At 50.8% G+C, this 20476-nt stretch overlaps 2 protein-coding genes and 1 long non-coding RNA gene across 6 annotated transcripts, besides 1 other annotated feature; 1 reads left to right on the forward strand and 2 right to left on the reverse strand.

Annotated features, from left to right (window-relative positions):
• Nucleotides 1-266: 266 nt before the first annotated feature.
• On the reverse strand, nucleotides 267-4904 carry TFF2 (trefoil factor 2). Its single transcript, NM_005423.5, has 4 exons — nucleotides 4789-4904; nucleotides 3791-3940; nucleotides 1396-1542; nucleotides 267-456 (listed from the first exon to the last, which is right to left on the reverse strand). The coding sequence occupies exons 1-4, from the start codon at nucleotides 4865-4867 to the stop codon at nucleotides 443-445; spliced, it is 390 nt and encodes a 129-aa protein (NP_005414.1). The 5' UTR covers nucleotides 4868-4904; the 3' UTR covers nucleotides 267-442.
• Nucleotides 4905-6202: 1298 nt separating this feature from the next.
• On the forward strand, nucleotides 6203-19022 carry LOC105372815 (uncharacterized). Of its 4 annotated transcripts, none has more exons than XR_007067875.1 (4): nucleotides 6203-7211; nucleotides 12684-12863; nucleotides 17140-18275; nucleotides 18680-19022. It is a non-coding gene; the product is annotated as an uncharacterized LOC105372815 (long non-coding RNA). The 4 variants fall into 4 exon arrangements; XR_007067876.1 differs by having other exon boundaries at nucleotides 6203-6418; nucleotides 6561-7211; nucleotides 17140-19022; XR_007067877.1 differs by having other exon boundaries at nucleotides 6203-6418; nucleotides 7127-7211; nucleotides 17140-19022.
• Nucleotides 15390-15889: an enhancer, noted in NCBI's record as "H3K27ac hESC enhancer chr21:43781589-43782088 (GRCh37/hg19 assembly coordinates)". NCBI's record gives its function as "activates a minimal SCP1, AML or CMV promoter by ChIP-STARR-seq in naive H9 embryonic stem cells {active_cell/tissue: H9 hESC(naive)}" and the evidence as "EXISTENCE:reporter gene assay evidence [ECO:0000049][PMID:30033119]".
• Nucleotides 16192-20445, reverse strand: TFF1 (trefoil factor 1). Its single transcript, NM_003225.3, has 3 exons — nucleotides 20321-20445; nucleotides 17165-17317; nucleotides 16192-16405 (listed from the first exon to the last, which is right to left on the reverse strand). The coding sequence occupies exons 1-3, from the start codon at nucleotides 20403-20405 to the stop codon at nucleotides 16389-16391; spliced, it is 255 nt and encodes an 84-aa protein (NP_003216.1). The 5' UTR covers nucleotides 20406-20445; the 3' UTR covers nucleotides 16192-16388.
• Nucleotides 20446-20476: the final 31 nt, after the last annotated feature.

Genomic DNA, 20476 nt, shown 5'->3' on the forward strand with positions numbered 1-20476 from the left:
GGCAGGAGGATAGCTTGAACCTGGGAGGAGGAGGTTGCAGTGAGCCAAGATTGCACCATTGCACTCTAGCCTGGGTGACAGAGCAAGACTCTGTCTCAAAACACACACAAAAAAACCCTGCATATACACTCACACATATGCACATTCGCACATATACACACACCCATACATGGGTACACACACCCATACATGGGTACACACACCCATACATGTGTACACACGCACACCACCATTACCACCTCTGTGTTAATGAAACCAAAAAGAAATTTAGCAGATTTTAAGGGTTTTATTTAAAGAAATTATATGTTAAACCATTGAAAATGAGGAAAAGATGGTTAAGAAAACCCAGGATTTCATGAAGTATGAAGCTGATAAGGCGAAGTTTCTTCTTTGGTTTCGGAACACCCGGTGAGCCAGATGCATCCTCTGGAACCAGCCTCTCTTAGTAATGGCAGTCTAGAAGTTTAAATGCAAGATGGTTGGTAAGGGAACCCCAGAAATGGGAGTGCCTAGGCTGCGAAGCTGGGGTGGGCGTGCATCACTTTGCCCAGGAGCTTCCTACTGAAGAAGGAGCTCCTTTCCCGGGGAGGGGGTGTAAAGGGACCAAATCTTCCCACCCCAGGCCAGAGTTTCCTCTGTGGGGCGCATTCTCCCCAGACAAGTGAACATTTTCTAGGTGGACCTTTAGGTCACATAAAAAAAATCACTCGGAAAATCCTGAACATGAAATATTTCGCTCTTTGGAGTGCTTTGATATCCTAACAAAAGGAAAAGAAAAGGCATCCTTCAAGGGCCAGTAGCTCTTTCCCCATTTTCCTGGATCTGCTTGGTCTTTTTTTACCTCGCCACACTCCGAGTCAGGAACACACTATCACTAAGCGGGTGGGAGAAGTGGACCCGTTCACCTCTGCCGGCGGGACCCTCCCGGGACTGCCCGGAGCAGGACGTTGTGGATGAGGTTTGTCATTCGGGGTCATGTGGGGGAGAACGGGGAAGCCACGGGAGAAGGGGCCAGGTCTGCTTGAGTTGGGCCCTCTCTGGTACCCAGCACAGTGCAAGACACTCAGTAGCCTCCAAATGCAGATGGGCTTGCAATAAAACAGGCAACGCCTCTGAACGTTGCAACACCTGGGGAGGCAACAGGGATGAGCCGCTGTTTCTAGAGCCATCACAGATGACGCAGTGGCAATGCTGGAGGCTATAAACTTATTGAAAAGACGCTGTCTTTGCCAAGAACATTCTGGAATTGCCTTCAGAATCCCATAGGAGGCAGGGGCCCTGGCCTCGATGGCACTGAGGCTGCGAGGCAGCTCCCCTCCCTGCACCCCACCTCTACGGACGGAGGAGGAATCATGGTGTCCGGGAACCAGACAGAGAGTCCCACAGCGACGTTACCTTCCACAGACTTCGGGAAGAAGCACCAGGGCACTTCAAAGATGAAGTTGGAGAAGCAGCACTTCCGAGAGGCGCATTCCTCGGGGCTGATGCCCGGGTAGCCACAGTTTCTTCGGTCTGAGACCTCCATGACGCACTGATCCGACTCTGCCATGGGACAGGCACAGCACCGAGACCCAGTCAGGCCTGCTGTGCCCTGGAAAGCTCCACCCCTTCCTCCTCTGAGAGCAGCGCTGATTTGCAGCCTCCGTGGATCATGAGGTGCTGCCTGGGGCAGCATCCCCCGGGACGGCCTCCCCCGGGGACTGTGGAAGTGTCGGCCCCTGGGACCGCCTCCCCCGGGGACTGTGGAAGTGTCGGCCCCAGCGACGCTTGGCTGGCCTGTCCTCCGCGAAGGTGGGGCCCATGTGGGGTGGTCACAGTCAGAAGCTCTGGAGTCCCCCGCCTTGGGGAAATCATTTTGCCTCTCGGGACTCAGTGTTCTCAGTAAATGGGGTGGTCCCCCGGGCCAAGATGAGAAAAGGTTTGTGGGCACCTTGGTAAGATGGAAAGCGTTTGGACATGGTATTGATTCCCAAAGACACTGCCATTCAGTGGGCGCTCGTGAACAATCCACCATCTGCCTGGTTTCCCTGCGGGGCCCAGCAAGCCTCCCAGCAACAATCTTGGGGATGAATCCTCCTTCTCCAGAGGACGTGCCTGGTTCCACGCACACAGGTGCACGACACACACACAACCTTCCTTTGAGCACTCGTCGGCGTTACAACTTGGGTCCTGATCCCGTGCACTAACATAAAACTCACTCCCAAAGAACCCTAGAAGGCTTCACTTCCTTCCCTAACATTTGAGGGCTGTCAGCCCTTATGTTACTGCTGTCCTATTAAATACCTTCATTTCCCCATGGAAGCTTCTTCAGAAGTCACACTTCAAAAACTAGAGGAGACCTACTATATATATATATATTTTTTTCTCAACTAAAGTAAAACTGATGGCTCCACACACACATGTCTGTTGAAAGAACTAACAGTGTAGAAACAGGGTAGGTGGGAAATTTTCATCTCACTGTTGGCTGACCTGGGTTACCTCTAGACTAACAGTCCAGGCTGGCCCCAGGCTAACCAACCTGGGCTACCTCTAGACTAGCAGTCCAGACTAGTCCCAGACTAACCAATCTGGGCTACCTCTAGACTAACAGTCCAGGCTAGTCCCAGACTAACCAACCTGGGCTACCTCTAGACTAACAGTCCAGACTAGTCCCAGACTAACCAACCTAACCAACCTGGGCTACCTCTAGACTAACAGTCCAGGCTAGTACCAGACTAAACAACCTGGGCTACCTCTAGACTAGCAGTCCAGGCTAGTCTAAGACTAACCAACATGGGCTAGCCCCAGACTAACCAACCTGGGCTAGCCCTAGACTACCTCTAGACTAGCAGTCCTCTAGGCTACCTCTAGACTAGCAGTCCAGGCTAGTCCCAGACTAACCAACCTGGGCTAGCTCCAGACTAAACAACCTGGGCTAGCTCCAGACTAACAAACCTGGGCTAGCCCCAGACTAACCAACCTGGGCTACTAGCCTCAGACTAACCAACCTGGGCTAGCTCCAGACTAACCAACCTGGGCTAGCTCCGATTAACCAACCTGGGCTAGCCCTAGACTAACCAGCCTACGCTAGCCCTAGACTAACCAACCTGGGCTAGCTCCAGACTAACAAACCTAGGCTACTAGCCCCAGACTAACCAGCCTATGCTAGCCCTAGACTAACCAACTTGGGCTAGCTCCAGACTAACCAACCTAGGCTACTAGCCCCAGACTAATCAACCTGTGCTAGCTCCAAACTAACTAACCTGGGCTAGCCCTAGACTAACTAGCCTACACTAGCCCTAGACTAACCAACCTGGGCTAGCCCCAGACTAACCAACCTGGGCTACTAGCCCCAGACTAACCAACCTGGGCTAGCTCCAGACTAACCAACCTGGGCTAGCCCCAGACTAACCAGCCTACGCTAGCCCTAGACTAACCAACCTGGGCTAGCTCCAGGCTAACCAACCTGGGCTACTAGCCCCAGACTAACCAACCTGCGCTAGCTCCAAACTAACCAACCTGGGCTAGCCTTAGACTAACTAGCCTACACTAGCCCTAGACTAACCAACCTGGGCTAGCCCCAGACTAACCAACCTGGGCTAGCCCCAGACTAACCAACCTGGGCTAGCTCTAGACTAACCAACCTGGGCTAGCCCCAGACTAACCAACCGGGGCTAGCTCGAGACTAACCCACCCAGGCTAACCCTAGACTAGCAACTGGGCCTCCTCCGGCCCCTGCTCTGGGCTCCGCCTGTGAAGCTGGGTCCTGGGTTGCCAGCTGCTGGCCCAGGAAGATTCCCTGGAAGATTACCTTGCTTTGGGAGGGGGTGGAAACACCAGGGGACCCCAGTGACACTGGAGTCGAAACAGCATCCATTGTCAAAACACTGGTCACTGGTGATTCCAGGGAAGCCGCAGTTCGTCCTGTTATGGGGGCTCAGCCTGGAGCACTGGCAGGGGGCTGTGGAAAGACCCTCAGTCGGCCCCACCCTGGTACCCCAGACCACACTGCTCCTTCTCTCAGAGGTTCTAGGGGATGCCTCTACTGTCTTGTTGCCACATAGAGAAACACAAAGTCTTATCTTGCCCATATTTAAGCAATGCGGTTTCCTCCTGAGAAGCCGATAGGGCTTTGCTGAAATTGTTATATTAGTTTAAAAGGAAAAAAAAAAAAAAGCCAGGCATGGTGGCTCATACCTATAATCCCAGCACTTTAGGAAGCCGAGGCGGGCAGATTGCTTGAGCTCAGGAGTTCAAGACCATCCTGGGCAACATGTCGAAACCCCATCTCTACAAACAATACAAAAAAAAAAATTGGCCGGGCATGATGGTCCACAACTGTGGTTTCAGCTACTCAGGCGGCTGAGGTGGGAGGATCACTTGAGCCTGGGAGGCAGAGGTTGCAGTGAGCCAAGATCACACCACTGCACTCCTGCCTGGGCGGCAAAGCCAGATCCTGTCTCGGAAAAAAACAAAAACAAAACCCTCCTAGAGGAGGGTGAACAGATGGACCCAAGGCCAAGATCCAGGCGAGAGGTGAGTGCTCTGGGACTCCAAGGACCCTTGGTGGGAATGCCCTCCTGGCCCGACACGGGGCCCGCTGACACCTGCCGTCACTCAGCCTTTCCCTAGGAGGGAGGCCCTTCTTGGAGCCACCCTCCTGAGCAGTGGCAAATCCCATGTGAACAACACACATTGCCAGATGCCTTTATAGCCATTCCCCCTCTCAAGTTAATTTATGGTTGTGCTTTTTTTTTTTCTTTAAGAGAAATAAAGAAAGCACATAAAAAGACCCTCTCCTTCACTTACAGGGTTTCTCACTCCCCGCCAGGGCACATAGCCCCAGGACGAGGAGCGCTGCCAGGAGCTGGGCGTCTCGCCGTCCCATGTCTAGCTCAGCTGCACCCCAGGGTGGCTTGCAGAATGCATGGTGTCCACTGCCGGGTATGTTTTATAATCTCCCCTCTGTTTGTCCAACAAGCAGAGATAACCTTTCTTCTCTGCCCCGTGGCCCCAGCCCTTCCACCGTGGAGGCGAAGAGGAGGCAAGAGGCAGCTGTGCCCTGTGCAGGCGAGGCTTCCGGGCCAGGGTGACTCTCTCCCTGCTCGGTGATACCTCTTCCTGCCCTGGACAGAGAGTTGGGTCATGCCAGGCTGCCAGCGTGGAAAACCGGCCACGTGCAGGTCTGGGGCTGGGCACACACAGGGTCACACCCAGGAAGGGATAAGCTATGCATTTCTATTGATAGAGTGGGCAGGGACCACAGGAATTTAGAAAATATTAGGGCCAAGTTTACTGGGGAAAATGTACAGGCCAGCAGATAGCATGGAAAAGTCCCCTCCCTGAGGAAGGGAAGCATCTCAGAGGAGGTAAGAGACTGCTCCCAGGGCTGTGGTTAGAGCCTCCCCAACCGCAGCACGATGCCCTTTGTCCCATCTTCAGCAGGAGGGGCTGCTCTCCATGGAGATGAGGCTGACAGGGTCAGCGGAGTAGCCTGTGACAGGCAGGTTTTAATAAGTTCATTTTCAGCCAACCCCTGAAATGGGTTATTTTTGTTCCATGGGAATGCTCTACATCTTCTGAAAGATGGCACCTGGGACCCAGCCCATGGCCTTCCTGGGGTAGGATGTGCTGGAGAAGGATTCTGTGGACCTGACAGAGAAGACAGAAGCCAGAGAGTAGACACCCGGAAAGAAAGAGGGAAAAGTGTGGTGGGAAGGACAGAGGGGACCCGAAGTTCCCCACGCCAGGGAAATGACAGGGGGTTGCCAGTCTGTTTCTGATGGTTGAGCAGTCAGGGGCCCAGAGACGCAGGAAACCCAAAATCCTTGGTCCACCACGGGGCTGTCCTCAGGGTCTGGAGAGCAGGCCCCATACTCCAGGCCCCCATCCTCCAGGCCCTCGTCCCCCAGGCTCCATCCTCCAGGCCCCCATTCTCCAGGGCTCCATCCTCTAGGCCCCTGTCCTCCAGGCCCCCATCCTCTAGGCCCTCATCCTCCAGGCTCCATCCTCCAGGCTCCATCCTCCAGGTTTCATCCTTCAGGCCATCATCCTCCAGGCCCCCGTCCTCCAGGCCCCCATCCTCCAGGCCCCATCCTCCAGGCCCCCATCTTTCAGGCCCCTGTCCTCCAGGCTCTTGTCCTCCAGGCCCTCATCCTCCAGGCCCCTGCTCCTCCAGACCCTCATCCTCCAGACCCTCATCCTCCAGGCCCCCATCTTTCAGGCCCCTGTCCTCCAGGCCCTCTTCCTCCAGACCCTCGTCCTCCAGGCCCCTGTTCCTCCAGACCCTCGTCCTCCAGACCCTCATTCTCCAGGCCCCCGTCCTCCAGGCTCCATCCTCCAGGGCTCCTCTGGGTCCGGGTCAAGTACCTCCAGGCTCTCTGCTGACTGTTCACCACTGGGCAACCACAGGGACTCGATCCATGAAAACTCTGGCAAGGTCAGTTTCCTTGTTCTACATCCCTGTCACTTTAGTCACCATCATGATATAAGTGACTGAGTCATTGTTTTCTCTCATATTCCCACCCACCTCTCCTCTCTGCTTCCTCCCCATCAACTCGACTTCCCACCGCTCACTGCAGCCCCTTCAGGATTCCTGCTGCGACCACCTGACCCATGCAAAAGAGACCACTTCTCAGCCTCTCTCACTCTCCTGGCCCTGGCGGAAGCCTGTGTTGTCATAGGCATGCTTCCCTGGAATCCTGCTCAGGCCCCCACGCAGGGACACTGAGTGCCCACAGAGTTGGGAAACCATTACACGAGATGGGACGTCTGCAATAGAGTGGCATCGCTAGTTGAAAGTGGAGCTGTTCACAACCTCCACAACTGTACTTGGTGGCCACGTCCCCATCACATGGGCTCAGACTGGGGGCTGGACATTGACTTTGAGCCCCAAGTCTTCACCCTCATGCAAAAACCATCCTCCTTGGAGATGCAGGCTGGGAAGGGCGCCATGTCCGGAGTCCCTGCCCTGCTGTCATCTGCCGACCTTTGTGCAGCCTGTCCCTTTCGTTAAGAATTTCAGCACTGAGTTCACTGTGTTCCTTGTCATGCTAAGACTTGGCCACATCCCAGCCATCTTCAACATGGCGGTCGATGTTTCATCAAAATTCACAGTCGCTCAGATTTTATTTTTCCTCATCTCTAGGAACTTCCATCTCCACTCCACTTCTGCCACTTCTGCCACCCTCCCATGACCACACTCAGAACTTGAGCTCCACCTCTGAAAGAGGGTATGCAAATGTCCTTTCTGCCCAGGATGTCCTAAGCTCCTAACATTCTCCCTTTGTCTGAATCCTAAAGCCCTCCAATCCCCTATTCCCCTGTGAGCCCCCTCCTGTCTATCCTTCCTTCCTGCTTCTCCAGCCTGATTTCCACAGTGCTCACTTCACCCACCGTCTTCCTCACTGCTGTTTCCCACTGTCTCTGTGCCTATGCCATCTGCCTAGCATGGCCGACACCTACCTTGAATTGTTGCCACTCTCAACGCATGATCTCAGCGCCATCCAGGCACTCAGGGCTGGCGCCCTCCTCTTTCTGTTTATCCTTCTCCACCCCTGCTCACTTCCATTTTGCACACTTTGGGGATGATACTTTCCATCAGTTCACATAGAAAGTCAACAAATGGGAACCACCTCAGCTATCACCCATGTGGACTTCCGCTTTTGACTATGGAGTCACTGGTACCAGGCTAGCCTCCCACCATGAGTAACTCTAAAACTACATAAGTAACAGTCTGCAGATGCTGAGCAGCAGGCAGTGCCAGACAGCGATCCCTGAGAGAAGGGAAACAATAGGGGGAGTCCCATGGCTGCCTTGGTTTCCTGGAGACGCTCTCCAGACTACAGCACAGGGAGGGGAACCCAAATAGCACTGAAGTCCCATCGGGCTGAGGAGACAGAGGTCAGAATTGGAAGCTTCTGAGGCAGGCGGGTTATCAAGGTAAGAGAAGGAAGCTCCAGAAATATAAAAGTGTGTCCTTTGAGCTTTTCATCAAATACTATGCTGTTCGTGCCCACAAGGCCAGGCTAAGTAGCCCCTGGGGACAGAACAATCACTGGGGAGGCTAAACTGAACAACTAGTGTAGGGTTCGTGGGGCTGGAAAGCATTTGAGCTCAGAGCAGCCAGAGGTGTTGACCACTTCAAGCATTCAATAAAGGCCATGCCGTAAAAAGAAGGCTGATCTTTCTAGAGGAAAGCTACTCAAAATCCATTCGAACAAAACTTTAAAACAAGTCTTGCAGGAATCAAGTTAACCTGCAAGTAAATTAACTGCTTGTATTAGTTCACTCAGGTTGCTGTAACAAAATACTACACATTGTGTAGCTTAACCAACAGAAGTGTACTTTCTCACAATTCTGGTGCCCAGAAGTCCAAGATAGGGTGTCAGCACATCTGGTTTCTACTGAGGCCTCTTTCTGCTTGCAGATGGCTTTTTTTCCCCATATCTCACATGGTCTTTCCTCTGTGCACGCACATCTCTGGCGACTCTTTTCTTATAAGGACACCAGTCAAATTGAACCAGGGCCCACCCTAAGAGCCTCATTTTAACCTGATTACCCCTTTTAAGACACTGTCTCCAAATGTAGTCACATTCTTAGGTAATGGAATTTAAGGCTTCATATATGAATTTGGGGGAAATAATTCAACCGATAACACTACCTGAGAGAGCAAAGCATTCAACACTTTACTAATGAAGACAGCAAAACCTAAATACACAACATAACATCCCTAACGTCTAACAGAAAATCAGAAGTTACTAGATGTGTGGAGAGAACTAGGAAATATGGCCCATAATCATTAGAAAAATCAGTGAACAAAAACAGACTTAGACATGGCATAAAATGTTCAAAGATTGAAAGAAAAACATAATATAATAAAGGAACAAAAAGGAATCTCAGTAGATAAATGGAAACTAAAAATTAACCAGGTACAAATTTTAGAAATAAAAAATACAACATCTGAAATGAAAAATACACTGTATGGGTTTTTGATTAGATACTATTAGATGCTGCAGAGGAATGGTCAGTTTACTTGAAGTGAAGCCAGTGCAAGATAAACTATGCGAACTAGAGCATAAAGTGAAAAAGGGCTAAACAAATAAACAAGATTCCAATGACCGGTGAGACAATGTCAAGCAATCTAACATACATGTAATTGATGTACCAGTAGGAGAGGAGAGAAAAAAATCTTTTAAAGAAATACTTGATCAAGAATGAGTATTGAGTAAATATTCATTAGATTTTTCTGAAGTTGGTGAAAAGTATAAACCTACAAATCTTAGAGGCTCAAAGAACTTCAAGGAAGATAAATACCAAAAATATCACATCAAGGCACAGCATGATTCGTCTGTTGAAAATCCGGTGATTTAAAAAACTCTTAAAGCAGCTGGAGGAAAAGACTTCTATAATTTGAATGTCCCTCCAAACTCATGTCGAAACTTAATCCCCAATGTGGCCGTATTGAGAGGTGGGGCCTTTAACAGGTGATTGGATCGTGAGAGCTCTGCTCTCATGAATGAATTAATCCACTCATGAATTAATGGATTCATGGGATGATGGATTCATGGGTTATTGTGGAAGGGGACCTGGTGGCTTTATAAGAAGAGAGACCTGTGCTAGGACATGAACACACTCAGCGCCCTCACCATGGAATACCCTGGGCTGCCTTGGGACACATCTGAGAGTCCCCACCAGCAAGAAGGCGCTCAAGAGATACAACCCCTCAACCTTGGACATCCCAGTCTCCAGAACTGTAAGAGATGAAGTTCATTTCTTATAAATGACCAGTTTCAACTTAGCAACAGAAAATAGGCTAAGACAAAGACATACAGCATGGAGGAGAACATAATAACAATAATGACTGATAACACAGTATTATTTACTCAACACTCATTCTTGATCAAGTATTTCTTTTTATCTGATAATGCAAACCAGAAGACAATGGGATAACATGTGTAAGTGCTAGGGAAAAGTTCTATACTCTGAAAATATGCTTTCAGAACAATTGCAGAGTTGATTCATTGTGACAAAGACTGTAAGGCCTCCAAAACCTACAATATTTACTATCTAGCCGTTTAAAAAAATCCAGGCTGGTTGCAGTGGCTCACGCCACAATCCCAGCACTTAGGGAGGCCTAGGTGGGCAGATCACCTGAGGTCAGGAACAGCCTGGCCAACATGGTGAAATTCCATCTCTACTAAAAATACAATAATTAGTCAGGCATGGTAGCTCATGCTTGCAATCCCAGCTACTTAGGAGGCTGAAGCAGAAGAATCACTTGAACTCAGGAGAGGTTGCACATACCCCTATATTGTAGCCTTAAGCTGTCTAAAAATAAAATTTAAAAATAACAATGGAGGGAAATATTTGTATTCTATTTTTCTTAAGAAAATGTTACAGAAATGAGCCTTGTGAGCCTTAATCCTTTTTCCTCCCTCTATAATCTTGTCCTGAAATTAAGATATTTAGTATACTGGTTGTTGGGAGACAGTTCTCCATAAAGTTCTCACATTTCTGCACATCCTGTGAATAAGAAACTAACTATCCTTATGGCATAAGACCTAAACTTAAGGCACAATATTAAGTACTGCCTTGACATCTGGTGAAACAGAGAGGGCCTCAAGCAGCCTCACCGAAAGTTCCCCTCCCATCTCTACTCGTGGATAAGGTCCCCTAGCCAAACAACCCTCCCTGTCAAGGGATCAGGCACCGTGCTTGCTTATCCGTGAGTAGCAGATTTCAGTTTTCTGCCAGCCCACAGAATTATTTAAACAAGCCAATTGCATCCTCCTGGGAGAACCACTAGCCACTACGCCCTCTTGATACTACAAAGCCTGCTTTCCGCAGCCTTTGCTTATTCACTCTGCTCCTGAATGCCACCTCTGTGTGGCTCCACATGGCACAGTGTCCTCAGCCCCTGAGCTATAAGGATATGGGACTCACAAACTGCTATTGTTCTCACCTATGTTGTGTTGGGGATGGCGTGTTCAGTCATCCCATCATCCTAGGGTGAAATCCCTCCCTCACTAACGAAATGCATGGGAGGCAATTAAAACAGTTCTTTCTTCCAGACTATCTCTCCAAGGATGTTTGGGTCACAAACAATCTTGGAAAGTGGATAAAGTGTCTCCCTCTGAAGCAAAGAGCAGGCAAGCTCACTGTCCCTTATAAAACACTTGGATCCCTAAGTCCAGGGCTTCTCTCCTATAAGGCAACCCACTGTGTGTGCAGGCACCCATCTGAGCCCATTCCTGGTCCCAGTCCCTTGGGGGTCTTGGAGGCAAAGAGAACCAACACAAGTAACCTTTCTTCATGCTGCTTGCTGTAGCATGAGTAATAAAGTCATTTATCTTTGAACCAGGAATCTCCTGTCTTCTGCTAGCAAACAGGAAACTGGCAGACTCACCTGCTGGCTTGCACGTAGGATATAATAAGCTCAGCCCTTCCCACTTCTCGACACTGATAGACTAGATCAGATGAAATGTAGAAAATCCTTCCAATACTTGCCTTTAGCTTCACTGAGTCCCCTTGTAGCACGTGCATGTGTGGGCATGTATGGTTTGGTCTAATTTAGTCTGTTTGCTACCTCAAAAATGTCCAGCTCAGGGCACTGTTAAGAGCTGAAAAGAACAAGTCAGAAATCCTTTAAAAATAATACTATTTATTCTTGTGTTACCAACTGGTGTCTTCTGTCTACTTGGACCTTTAAGTCAGGGAACCCCTTCTTCCTAATGGCCATCCCTTCCTTCTGGTAAGTTACAAGGACTGGGATTTGCCAGGTGTGTGTCTCTTTCTTATGAGCTGATGTTTCCTATCAGACTCATAAAAATTAAATATTGCAACAAACCACCCCTCCCTCTACTTGCAAAGAAAGGTGAGGGAGTTTTCTTAAGTTAACGATATCTTTCCCAGTGACCCTACAAATATGAACTTAAGCCACAGCTTGCCTTCGAGAATTAGTTCCTGGTCTGACCTTTAGTTCAATAAATGCCCTGAACAGAACCCTGTTGTGTAGGAAATTATCTAGAAGCAACTGTGGCCTCCGAGTACATAGCCAGTGGCAGAACAGAGGTGTGCATAGACCAAATTAAGGTGTGAAACCTGCTATTTATTAAATCGATTGACAGCACGTAGTGAAAAATGAAGGGAAAGAGAAGGTGAACACCTCATACAGGTGTGGGAGGGTAGAAGGACCACATGCCTGAATTCTGGCCACGAGGAACTCACGCATCCTCTCCGTCTCTCCACCTTCTCCACCAGGGTCATAGTAATGGACATCTCAGCTGGGGACCAGGAGGTGGAGGGAGCCTGGGGCTAACACATGCTCTTGCTTTGTCTAAGAGATTCTGGGGGAGGGCTTGTGAGCTCAGCTGCAGCCCCGCACGATCCACAGAGCAGCCCATGTTTACTGCGCATTTCCGGGGCCAAGCGCAGGGTGGGTGGTCACCGTGAGCTGCTGGTTCAGGGCTGAAGGAGTTGTCAGCCTAGAGCACACCATCGGTTCCCTGTGATGCGGCCTTCTCATCCTTTTCTCTCCCTAATGACGTTCTTGTTGGTTCCATCCTTCTCATCACACAGCATATCTCACAGAAGACCACTCTTTCACTGTCCACCTTGAATACTCCTTATGAATGTGTGCCCCCATATGCACCTGACATACCTCCAGTTTCCCAAAATCCACTTTGTTTTCTTGCCTCCCACAGCAGAATTGCCTTATCTCACACAGTGGTGACAGCACTCTGTAATAATCTGCATGGGCCAGGGCTCCTTGGTTGCAGGTAACAGATACCACTGTTACGGCCCAACTCTGTTCTTCTATGTTGAAGCCGGAACCCCCAGCGCCTCAGAATGGGATCACATCTGGAGAAGGCGCCTTTAAAGAGGTGATTAAAATTGTGAAATCAAGTTTAGCCTAAAGCTTCCCCCTTACATATTTTAAATTTGGACTAAAGGTTTCTCTGTACATCGTGAACTGTAACAGGTGGAGGCGTAAACCGACCGTAGCCTACACTTGTGCCAATCACCGAGTTCTGACCAATCAAATGCAGCCAACTGTCCGAACTGAGGTGCCAGTCACCGAGTTCTGACCAATCAAATGCAGCCAACAGTCCGAACTGCGTTCAAGTGAGGCAAAGGCGGAGCTGTAACCAGTCGGGCTGTTTTTGTGCCTCATATCCATTTTCTGTGCCTCACTTTCCTGTCTCTGTCCATAAATCTGCTTCCACCCCGTGACTGTGCTGGAGTCTAAGCCTACTCTGACTCAGCAGGCTACCCGATTCGTGAATAGTTCTTTGCTCAATTAAACTTCTTTAAATGTAATTCAGCTGAAGTTTTTCTTTTCTTTTCTTTTCTTTTCTTTTCTTTTTTTTTCTTTTCTTTTCTTTTCTTTTTTTTTTTGAGAGGGAGTTTCACTCTTGTTGCCCAGGCTGGAGTGCAGTGGCACAATCTCAGCTCACGACAACCTCCGCTTCCCGGGTTCAAGCAATTCTCCTGCCTCAGTCTCCGAGTAGCTGGGATTATGGGAATGTGCCACCACACGCGGGAAATTTTGTATTTTTAGTAGATGGGGTTTCTCCATGTTGGTCAGGCAGGTCTCGAACTCCTGACCTCAGGTGATCTGCCCGCCTCAGCCTCCCAAAGTGCTGGGATTACAGGCATGAGCCACCACGTCTGCCCAAGTTTTTCTTTTATCAAGTTAAAATGGGGTTGTTAGGGTGGGCCCTAATCCGACCTGACTGGTGTCCTTATGAGAAGAGGACATTTGGACACACAGACCCCAGACACACAGACAGACAAGCATGGGAAGAGGCAGCACAAGGGTGCTGCTTGCAAGCCAAGGAGCAGCTTACAAGAAAAGTGTAAACTGACATGTAACTCCATTGAGCAGATCTGAAGTGGAAGGGTGCTTTTTATTTTTTTTTTTAAGACAGTGTCTCACTCTGTCGCCCAGGCTGGAGTGCAGTAGCACAGTCTCGACTCACTGCAGCCTCCACCTCCTGGGCTCAAGAAATCCTTCCACTTCAGCCTCCCTAGTAACTGGGACTACAGGCATGTACCACACACTCAGCGAGTTTTTGTATTTTTAGTAGAAACAGAGTTTTGCCCTGTTGCCCAGGCTCCACTGAGTGGAGGCCCAGGGAAACCACAGGAAGGCAGTGACCCACCTTGTTAACTGGCTCTGCCTACAGTCCTTGGTGAGAGCGGTTGTTCCTGGCCATCGTGGCTGGGCCATAGGCTCACTGCTCTGTGGTAGATGGAAGATATGGGCCTTGGTAATATACTGAAATGCCACAGGAAACCAAACCAGAAGTGATTTAACCCACAAGCACACTTAGGTTTATTTAACATGATGTCTCAAGGTGGGTGGGGGGCTCAAATCAGTAGCTCAGGGTTATTAAGGCTCTAGGTCTTGGGCCTTACCTCATTATTACATAATGGCTGCCTGCAACACCACATCACACCCACCTTCCACAACACCCAAAGGCAGGCTGCAAGGGCTGGCCTAGGAAGCCAGAGGGCGCTCTTCATTCATCAAGGGAGAAGCCTGCCCCACCTTCAAGGAGATGCCCCCTATGTCTCATGGGCCACATAGAATTGCACGGCCACTTCTGGCTAAAAGAGGGGCTGGGAAAGTGAATTCTTTCTCCCCCTTCCTTCGTAGAGTGCAAGTTAGGTAAGAAAGAACGGATGGTGGACAGCCAGGAAACAGTCAGCTACGAGATGTTGTGTGGAAAGCCCACCTTTCTGACACTGGAGAACTGTGGGAAGAACGGACAGGCCACACACCAGCTGGGCTCTGAGAACCCCCAGCTTCTGCTCCACAGTGAGCCAGCAGGAATCCAAAGGGCATGGGCAGACCCCAGGGGCTCCTTCACCCCACCCAGGGGTAGAGAGGGCAAGACGGAGTAGAGCGAGGTAAGAGACTGAGCAATGCGTTCCCAAAGACTGTGACTGACAGAAGCTGTGCAAATTATTATGACAAACTGAATTTTAAGAGGAATTGGACTAAATAAAGTTAGCTCATTTTTACCTGTAATTAGCAGACAGAGAGTGTAAGATCAGACATACCATAGATGGAAAAGAAAAGCTAAAACTTCCTTGCACATCTGAGAGGTAAGAGGAGGTGTCTGTGGCCCCCCTGACACATACGTGACATATGTATTATTACGGCTCATGTGTGTGCTGCTGTGTGCAGGGGGCAGGGGGCTTCCCGTTCCTGATGGTTCTTCTTGGTGGGTGTCTCCCGGCCTCTCAGGCCTCTTTATCTGCTGAACGTGGTAGCCAAGGGTTTGGGAATGATTTGCCAGACTGGTTAATGTGGAAAGAGCTGGCCCCGCTCAGTTCTGCACCTCCCTCTTCCTCCCTGGAACCGTCTGGCTGCAGAGAGCAGGAGCTTTCCAGAGCTCCCGGGGGATCCCATCTCCAGTATAACTGTGCAACGTGTGCCCAGCACAAGAGCACCAGATGGAGGGACAGGTGGGAGGAGGAGGAACCCAGGGTGCATTTAGCTTGGGGCTTGCTGAGCTGAGGTCCCCAGAGCAAGGACGACTAGGTTGGGGGGACACCCTCTCCCAATCCTTGCCAAGCTACAGAGGGGCCAGTGGGAATAAAGTGACATTTTGGCTTCTGTATCCCTCCTCTGCTGTTCTATTTTCTAGTTCGTTCAGATCTGAGGTTGGGGAGGGGTTTTCCTGGAGGGGTCAGTCCATGCCACCCTCTGCAATTTTTATTACACATGCTTTCAGACATTCTGCTACAGGTTTCATCTCCTACGCCAATTTCTATTTGGGAAAGCAAATAAACGGAAAGCTAACTTGTGTCACTTGGTCGCTGGGGCATCCGCAGTGAGTAGTTAAGAAATGCCAGGGGAGTCGGTGTCCATTTTCATGCCTGGACAAGAGTGCGTCTTGGACTTGCGTCCTGCTGCACACCCCACCGTCCCGCTGCACACCCCACCGTCCTACTGCACACCCCACTGTCCTACTGTACACCCCACCGTCCTACTGCACACCCCACTGTCCTACTGCACACCCCACTGTCCTACTGTACACCCCACCATCCCTGCTTTCTGCACTCAGCTGCCCACTTGTATCCCAGCTCAGGAAGCCCAGAAGATGCAGAACCTCTGCGAGAGCCCAGGGTGAAACGCTGCGCTTCACTTTCAAAGAAAGGAAAATCATTCATATTCTTTAAAAGAATGAACAGCACAGATTAATATCGATCTCTTTTAATTTTTAGGCCAATTTTGAGTAGTCAAAGTCAGAGCAGTCAATCTGTGTTGTGAGCCGAGGCACAGCTGCAGAAGCGTGTCTGAGGTGTCCGGTGGAGGTGGCAGCCGAGCTCTGGGACTAATCACCGTGCTGGGGACGGCACCGCGTCAGGATGCAGGCAGATCCCTGCAGAAGTGTCTAAAATTCACACTCCTCTACAGGGGTGAGGGGGAGGGAGAAAGAGATGCTTTAGTGAGGATAAACATTTTCTTTCACATTTAAACAATTACAGAGTTTTTACTTTAAAGTATCCATAGGCACATTCTTTAGAAAACATGAACTGTCAGCCGGGCACGGTGGCTCACGCCTGTAATCCCAGCTCTCTGGGAGGCTGAGGCGGGCAGATCACCTGAGGTCAAGAGTTCAAGACCGGTCTGGCCAACATGGTGAAACCCCGTCTATACTAAAAATACAAAAAAAATTTAGCTGGGCGTAGTGGCACACACCTGTAATCTCAGCTACTAGGAAGCTGAGGTTGAACTCAGGAGGCAGAGATTGCAGTGAGCCAAGATCGCACCATTGCACTCCAGCTCAGGGGCAACGGAGCGAGACTCCATTTCAAAAAAAAAAAAAAAAAAAGAATACATGAAATGTCTTCAGATTTCGTCATGCCTTCCCCCTCTATCCTAGGCAAGCTAGAAAGCGTTACCAACAGTGGCTCTTCCCAGGCTTTTGGTTAGAGATGTGAAGAGAAGCCGGGGGGAAATCAGGTTTCTTCCCAAGTCCCTTAGCCCTGCCTTTCTATTCCTGGACCTGAATGCAGCCTGACTCAGGCTACCCCATTGCACCACCACTGGCGGCCGTGACTCTGTGTAAAGGCATAGCTGGTGATGCTGATCAGAGCCTCTGTAGTCTTAAATGACTTTTCTAACTAATTCTAAATCTTCAGAACCCATCGTATAAAAAGGCCATACCTTCTGGAGGGACGTCGATGGTATTAGGATAGAAGCACCAGGGGACCCCACGAACGGTGTCGTCGAAACAGCAGCCCTTATTTGCACACTGGGAGGGCGTGACACCAGGAAAACCACAATTCTGTCTTTCACGGGGGGCCACTGTACACGTCTCTGAAAGTGCACAGGTAAGAAGCAAAGTAAGTTGTGGGCTGAATTCCTTGATGTTATCATGCACACACCCATCCAGCTTCCTTCTCCAATGACATCAGCAACTGTCCAGTGAGGCGGATATAAAACCCTCAGGACATGAGAGGGAGACGTGGTCCTCACATCCTGATGTGCAAACATTACGCTCAGGGAAAATGCAAGGTGCCCCAGGTTTGTGGACTTTGCATCTTTCTAGGTAACTTATTTATTCACTTTTTAATTTCAACAAATGATTATTAAATTTTACTCAATACATAAATATTTACTGAGCACCATTTGTGTGCATGAGAAGTGGGAGCTAGCATGGCAAAAGCCAGGCACTGTGCCAGGTGAGAGAGACCCAGAAATTAAAACCAGAGAAGTCATTAATAAGAGTCTAAATATCTGGGCCCAGGCTCATGCCTGTAATCCCAGCACTTTGGGAGGCTGAAGGAGGTGAATCACTTGAGGTCAGGAGTTCAAGACCAGCCTGACCAAAATGGTGAAGCCCCATCTCTACTAAAAATACAAAAAATTAGGCGGGCATTGTGGCACACGTCTGTAATCCCAGCTACTTGGGAGGCTGAGGCAGGAGAATCACTTGAACCCAGGAGGCAGAGGTTGTAGTGAGCCAAGATCGCACCATTGCACTCCAGCCTGAGTGACAGAGCAAGACTCCATCTCAAAAAAAAAAAAAAAAGAGTCTAAGGATCTGATGGAGGAGAAAGGCAAGAACATGTGCGAGACAACGCAAGGCCATCGTCCCAGGGTGCCCAGGGTAACCACGGGGGTAGGGCACTCCCCGGAGAGGCCAATGACAAGCAGGTTGAACAAAGCAGGGGGGCTCCCTGCAGGAGGAGGTTCACCAGGTGAAGATGGAGCCGCATGGGCAAAGGCCATTCCAGAGACCCAGGTGTGTTCAGGAGGTGGAAACCCATTGCAGGTAAGGTGAGAGGACCGGGTGGGGTGGTCTAGGAGGAGCCGACAGAGGGTACAAGCTGTGAAACAGCTTGAAGCAGGGCAGTGAGGAAAGGGATCTAGAGGAGGAAGACACGTGGACAGATGGGGCTGGCTGGGGGCTGCCGCAGGATCTTATGCAAGAGGTTCTAACACCAGAGCTTCAGGCTCTGAGCTCCGCGGAATCAAAGGTCTCAGAAAGCAACCTATTAGGATCTGGTGGTTGACAGCCTGCAGCAGGGGGTGAAAGAGGAGCCCAGAGCACCCTCCGGTCCCTGTCCCTGCCTTGGGGCATAGGAGGGGAGGAACTCAGTCTGGCCACACTGGCTCAGGTGAGGGCGCCCCAGGGGAGGCCGAGAGGGGCTGTTCTCTTGTCTGCTTTGCTATCAGGGACTGCCTCGAGATGTCTTTGGAGAAAGTGTTCCTGGCTTGCTGGGAAGGATCCGTGTTCAGCTCCCGCTGCCCAGCAGCTTCCATGGGAACCTTGCCCTCCTGGGGTCTGGATCCATCGCGACGTGAAGGTGATCATCGCCCACCCCCGGGACACTGTGGGGGTCAAGAGAGGCCCCGTGGTGAGGGAGGATCATCATCCTGGGGGTCGGGGGGGTTTCCTCCTCAGGGAGGAAGATTTCCAGCCCCGGTGCTCTGCCTCCGGCAGACTCTGTCTTGCCCACCCGCTTTGTCTTTGTCGCATGATGGAAATAAATGGAAATGGTTTCCACACACGAATGCACTAAACTGTAATCACAATTTTCTAGATTTCAGTTGTAACAGGATCATGGACCTGAGTGACCCGCAAAGACGCTCTGAGCCTTGAGCCAGAGGGTGTGTGGGGTGGGGAGGGGAGTTTGCCACGGCCTCTGTGATCCCACAGCACAGGGGGCAGAGCTGGGGGCTGGGGTGGGGGCAAGGGCGCAGGCAGATGGGCCTGGGGGTGGCCAGCACGGGGACCCACCCAGTTCGTTCTGTACACCGAGGCCACTTCCTCTCTCGGGTTCCAAAGCTCCCCCGCTCCCTGCCATGGGCTTGGGGGTCTTCCCACTGCAGCCCAATGCTGGCTGCTCTTCTACGCTGCCCAAGCCCACCCCTCAGGCCCGGTACCCCACAGCAGAGATCAAGAGGTGGCTGGAGGGCAGTGGGGGCACGGACAGCACCACTGGGCGCTCCCTCTTCAGGCCTCTCTGGAAACCCTTGCTTTGGAAACGTAGAAAGCCCTTTCTCCTGCCCCCACCTTGAAACTGTACCTAATAACGGCAAATAAGTTATTCAGCTCCCCACAGCTGGCAAAGTGCAAGTCGCAGATGCTGCCACACAGCATTTCCTGACAGCCCTAGGGCAGACCGTTGATCCATTCTGCAGGTAAAGGAGTTGAGATGCAAACACTTCCCAAGGAAGCAAGAATGGCCTCCTCCTCCACTCCCTAGAAGGACCCAGGGCAACCGATCCACTTGACAACACCAGGGAATATGGGTTGCCAGCCACGCACTCATGAGAGAGGTGGCTTTGACTCCCAGAGCATGGATCCCAGGGGAGCCCAGGAACCTGTAGGAGAGGGTCTCCCAGTTGGCCACCACTGGGACGGGCATTCGGGCCTGTGGGAGAGGGTCTCCCAGGTGGCCATCACTGGGACCGGCATTTGGGCCTATCTGGATGGGCCTTGGGAGGGTCTGCCCCTGGGGGAGATGTTGGCATGAACAGTCAAAAGCACTATTCTGAGACCCCACGCCAACACTTCCTCTTTGAAACATGACACTTGGGAGGATTGTATAGTCTTCCTAACACAGGAAAACAGCCCCGACTGAAGGCAGCCCCCTCCTCGTCGCACTTCTCGAAGGTCTCCGGGGGCCCTGCCACCCTGAGTTACTCTCCACCTGCTTTTGCCGATCCTGTAAATTGGATATACTTTTAAGGGCCTAGAACAGCACCTGGCACAAAACAGGTGCTCAAAAATATGTATGTAAAACAGTGGCTCCTGGCGGAGGCTGCCAGAGCTGGCTGTGGCCCCACAGAGCAGGAAGAAGCACGCCTTACCTGTCTGGGCCTCGGCCAGGGTGCCGAGGGCCAGCATGGACACCAGGACCAGGGCGCAGATCACCTTGTTCTCCATGGTGGCCATTGCCTCCTCTCTGCTCCAAAGGCGACCCCGAGTCAGGGATGAGAGGCCGCCCGAGCCCCGGATTTTATAGG

This window comes from Homo sapiens, chromosome 21, assembly GCF_000001405.40.
Source record: "Homo sapiens chromosome 21, GRCh38.p14 Primary Assembly".
NCBI lineage: Eukaryota > Metazoa > Chordata > Mammalia > Primates > Hominidae > Homo > Homo sapiens.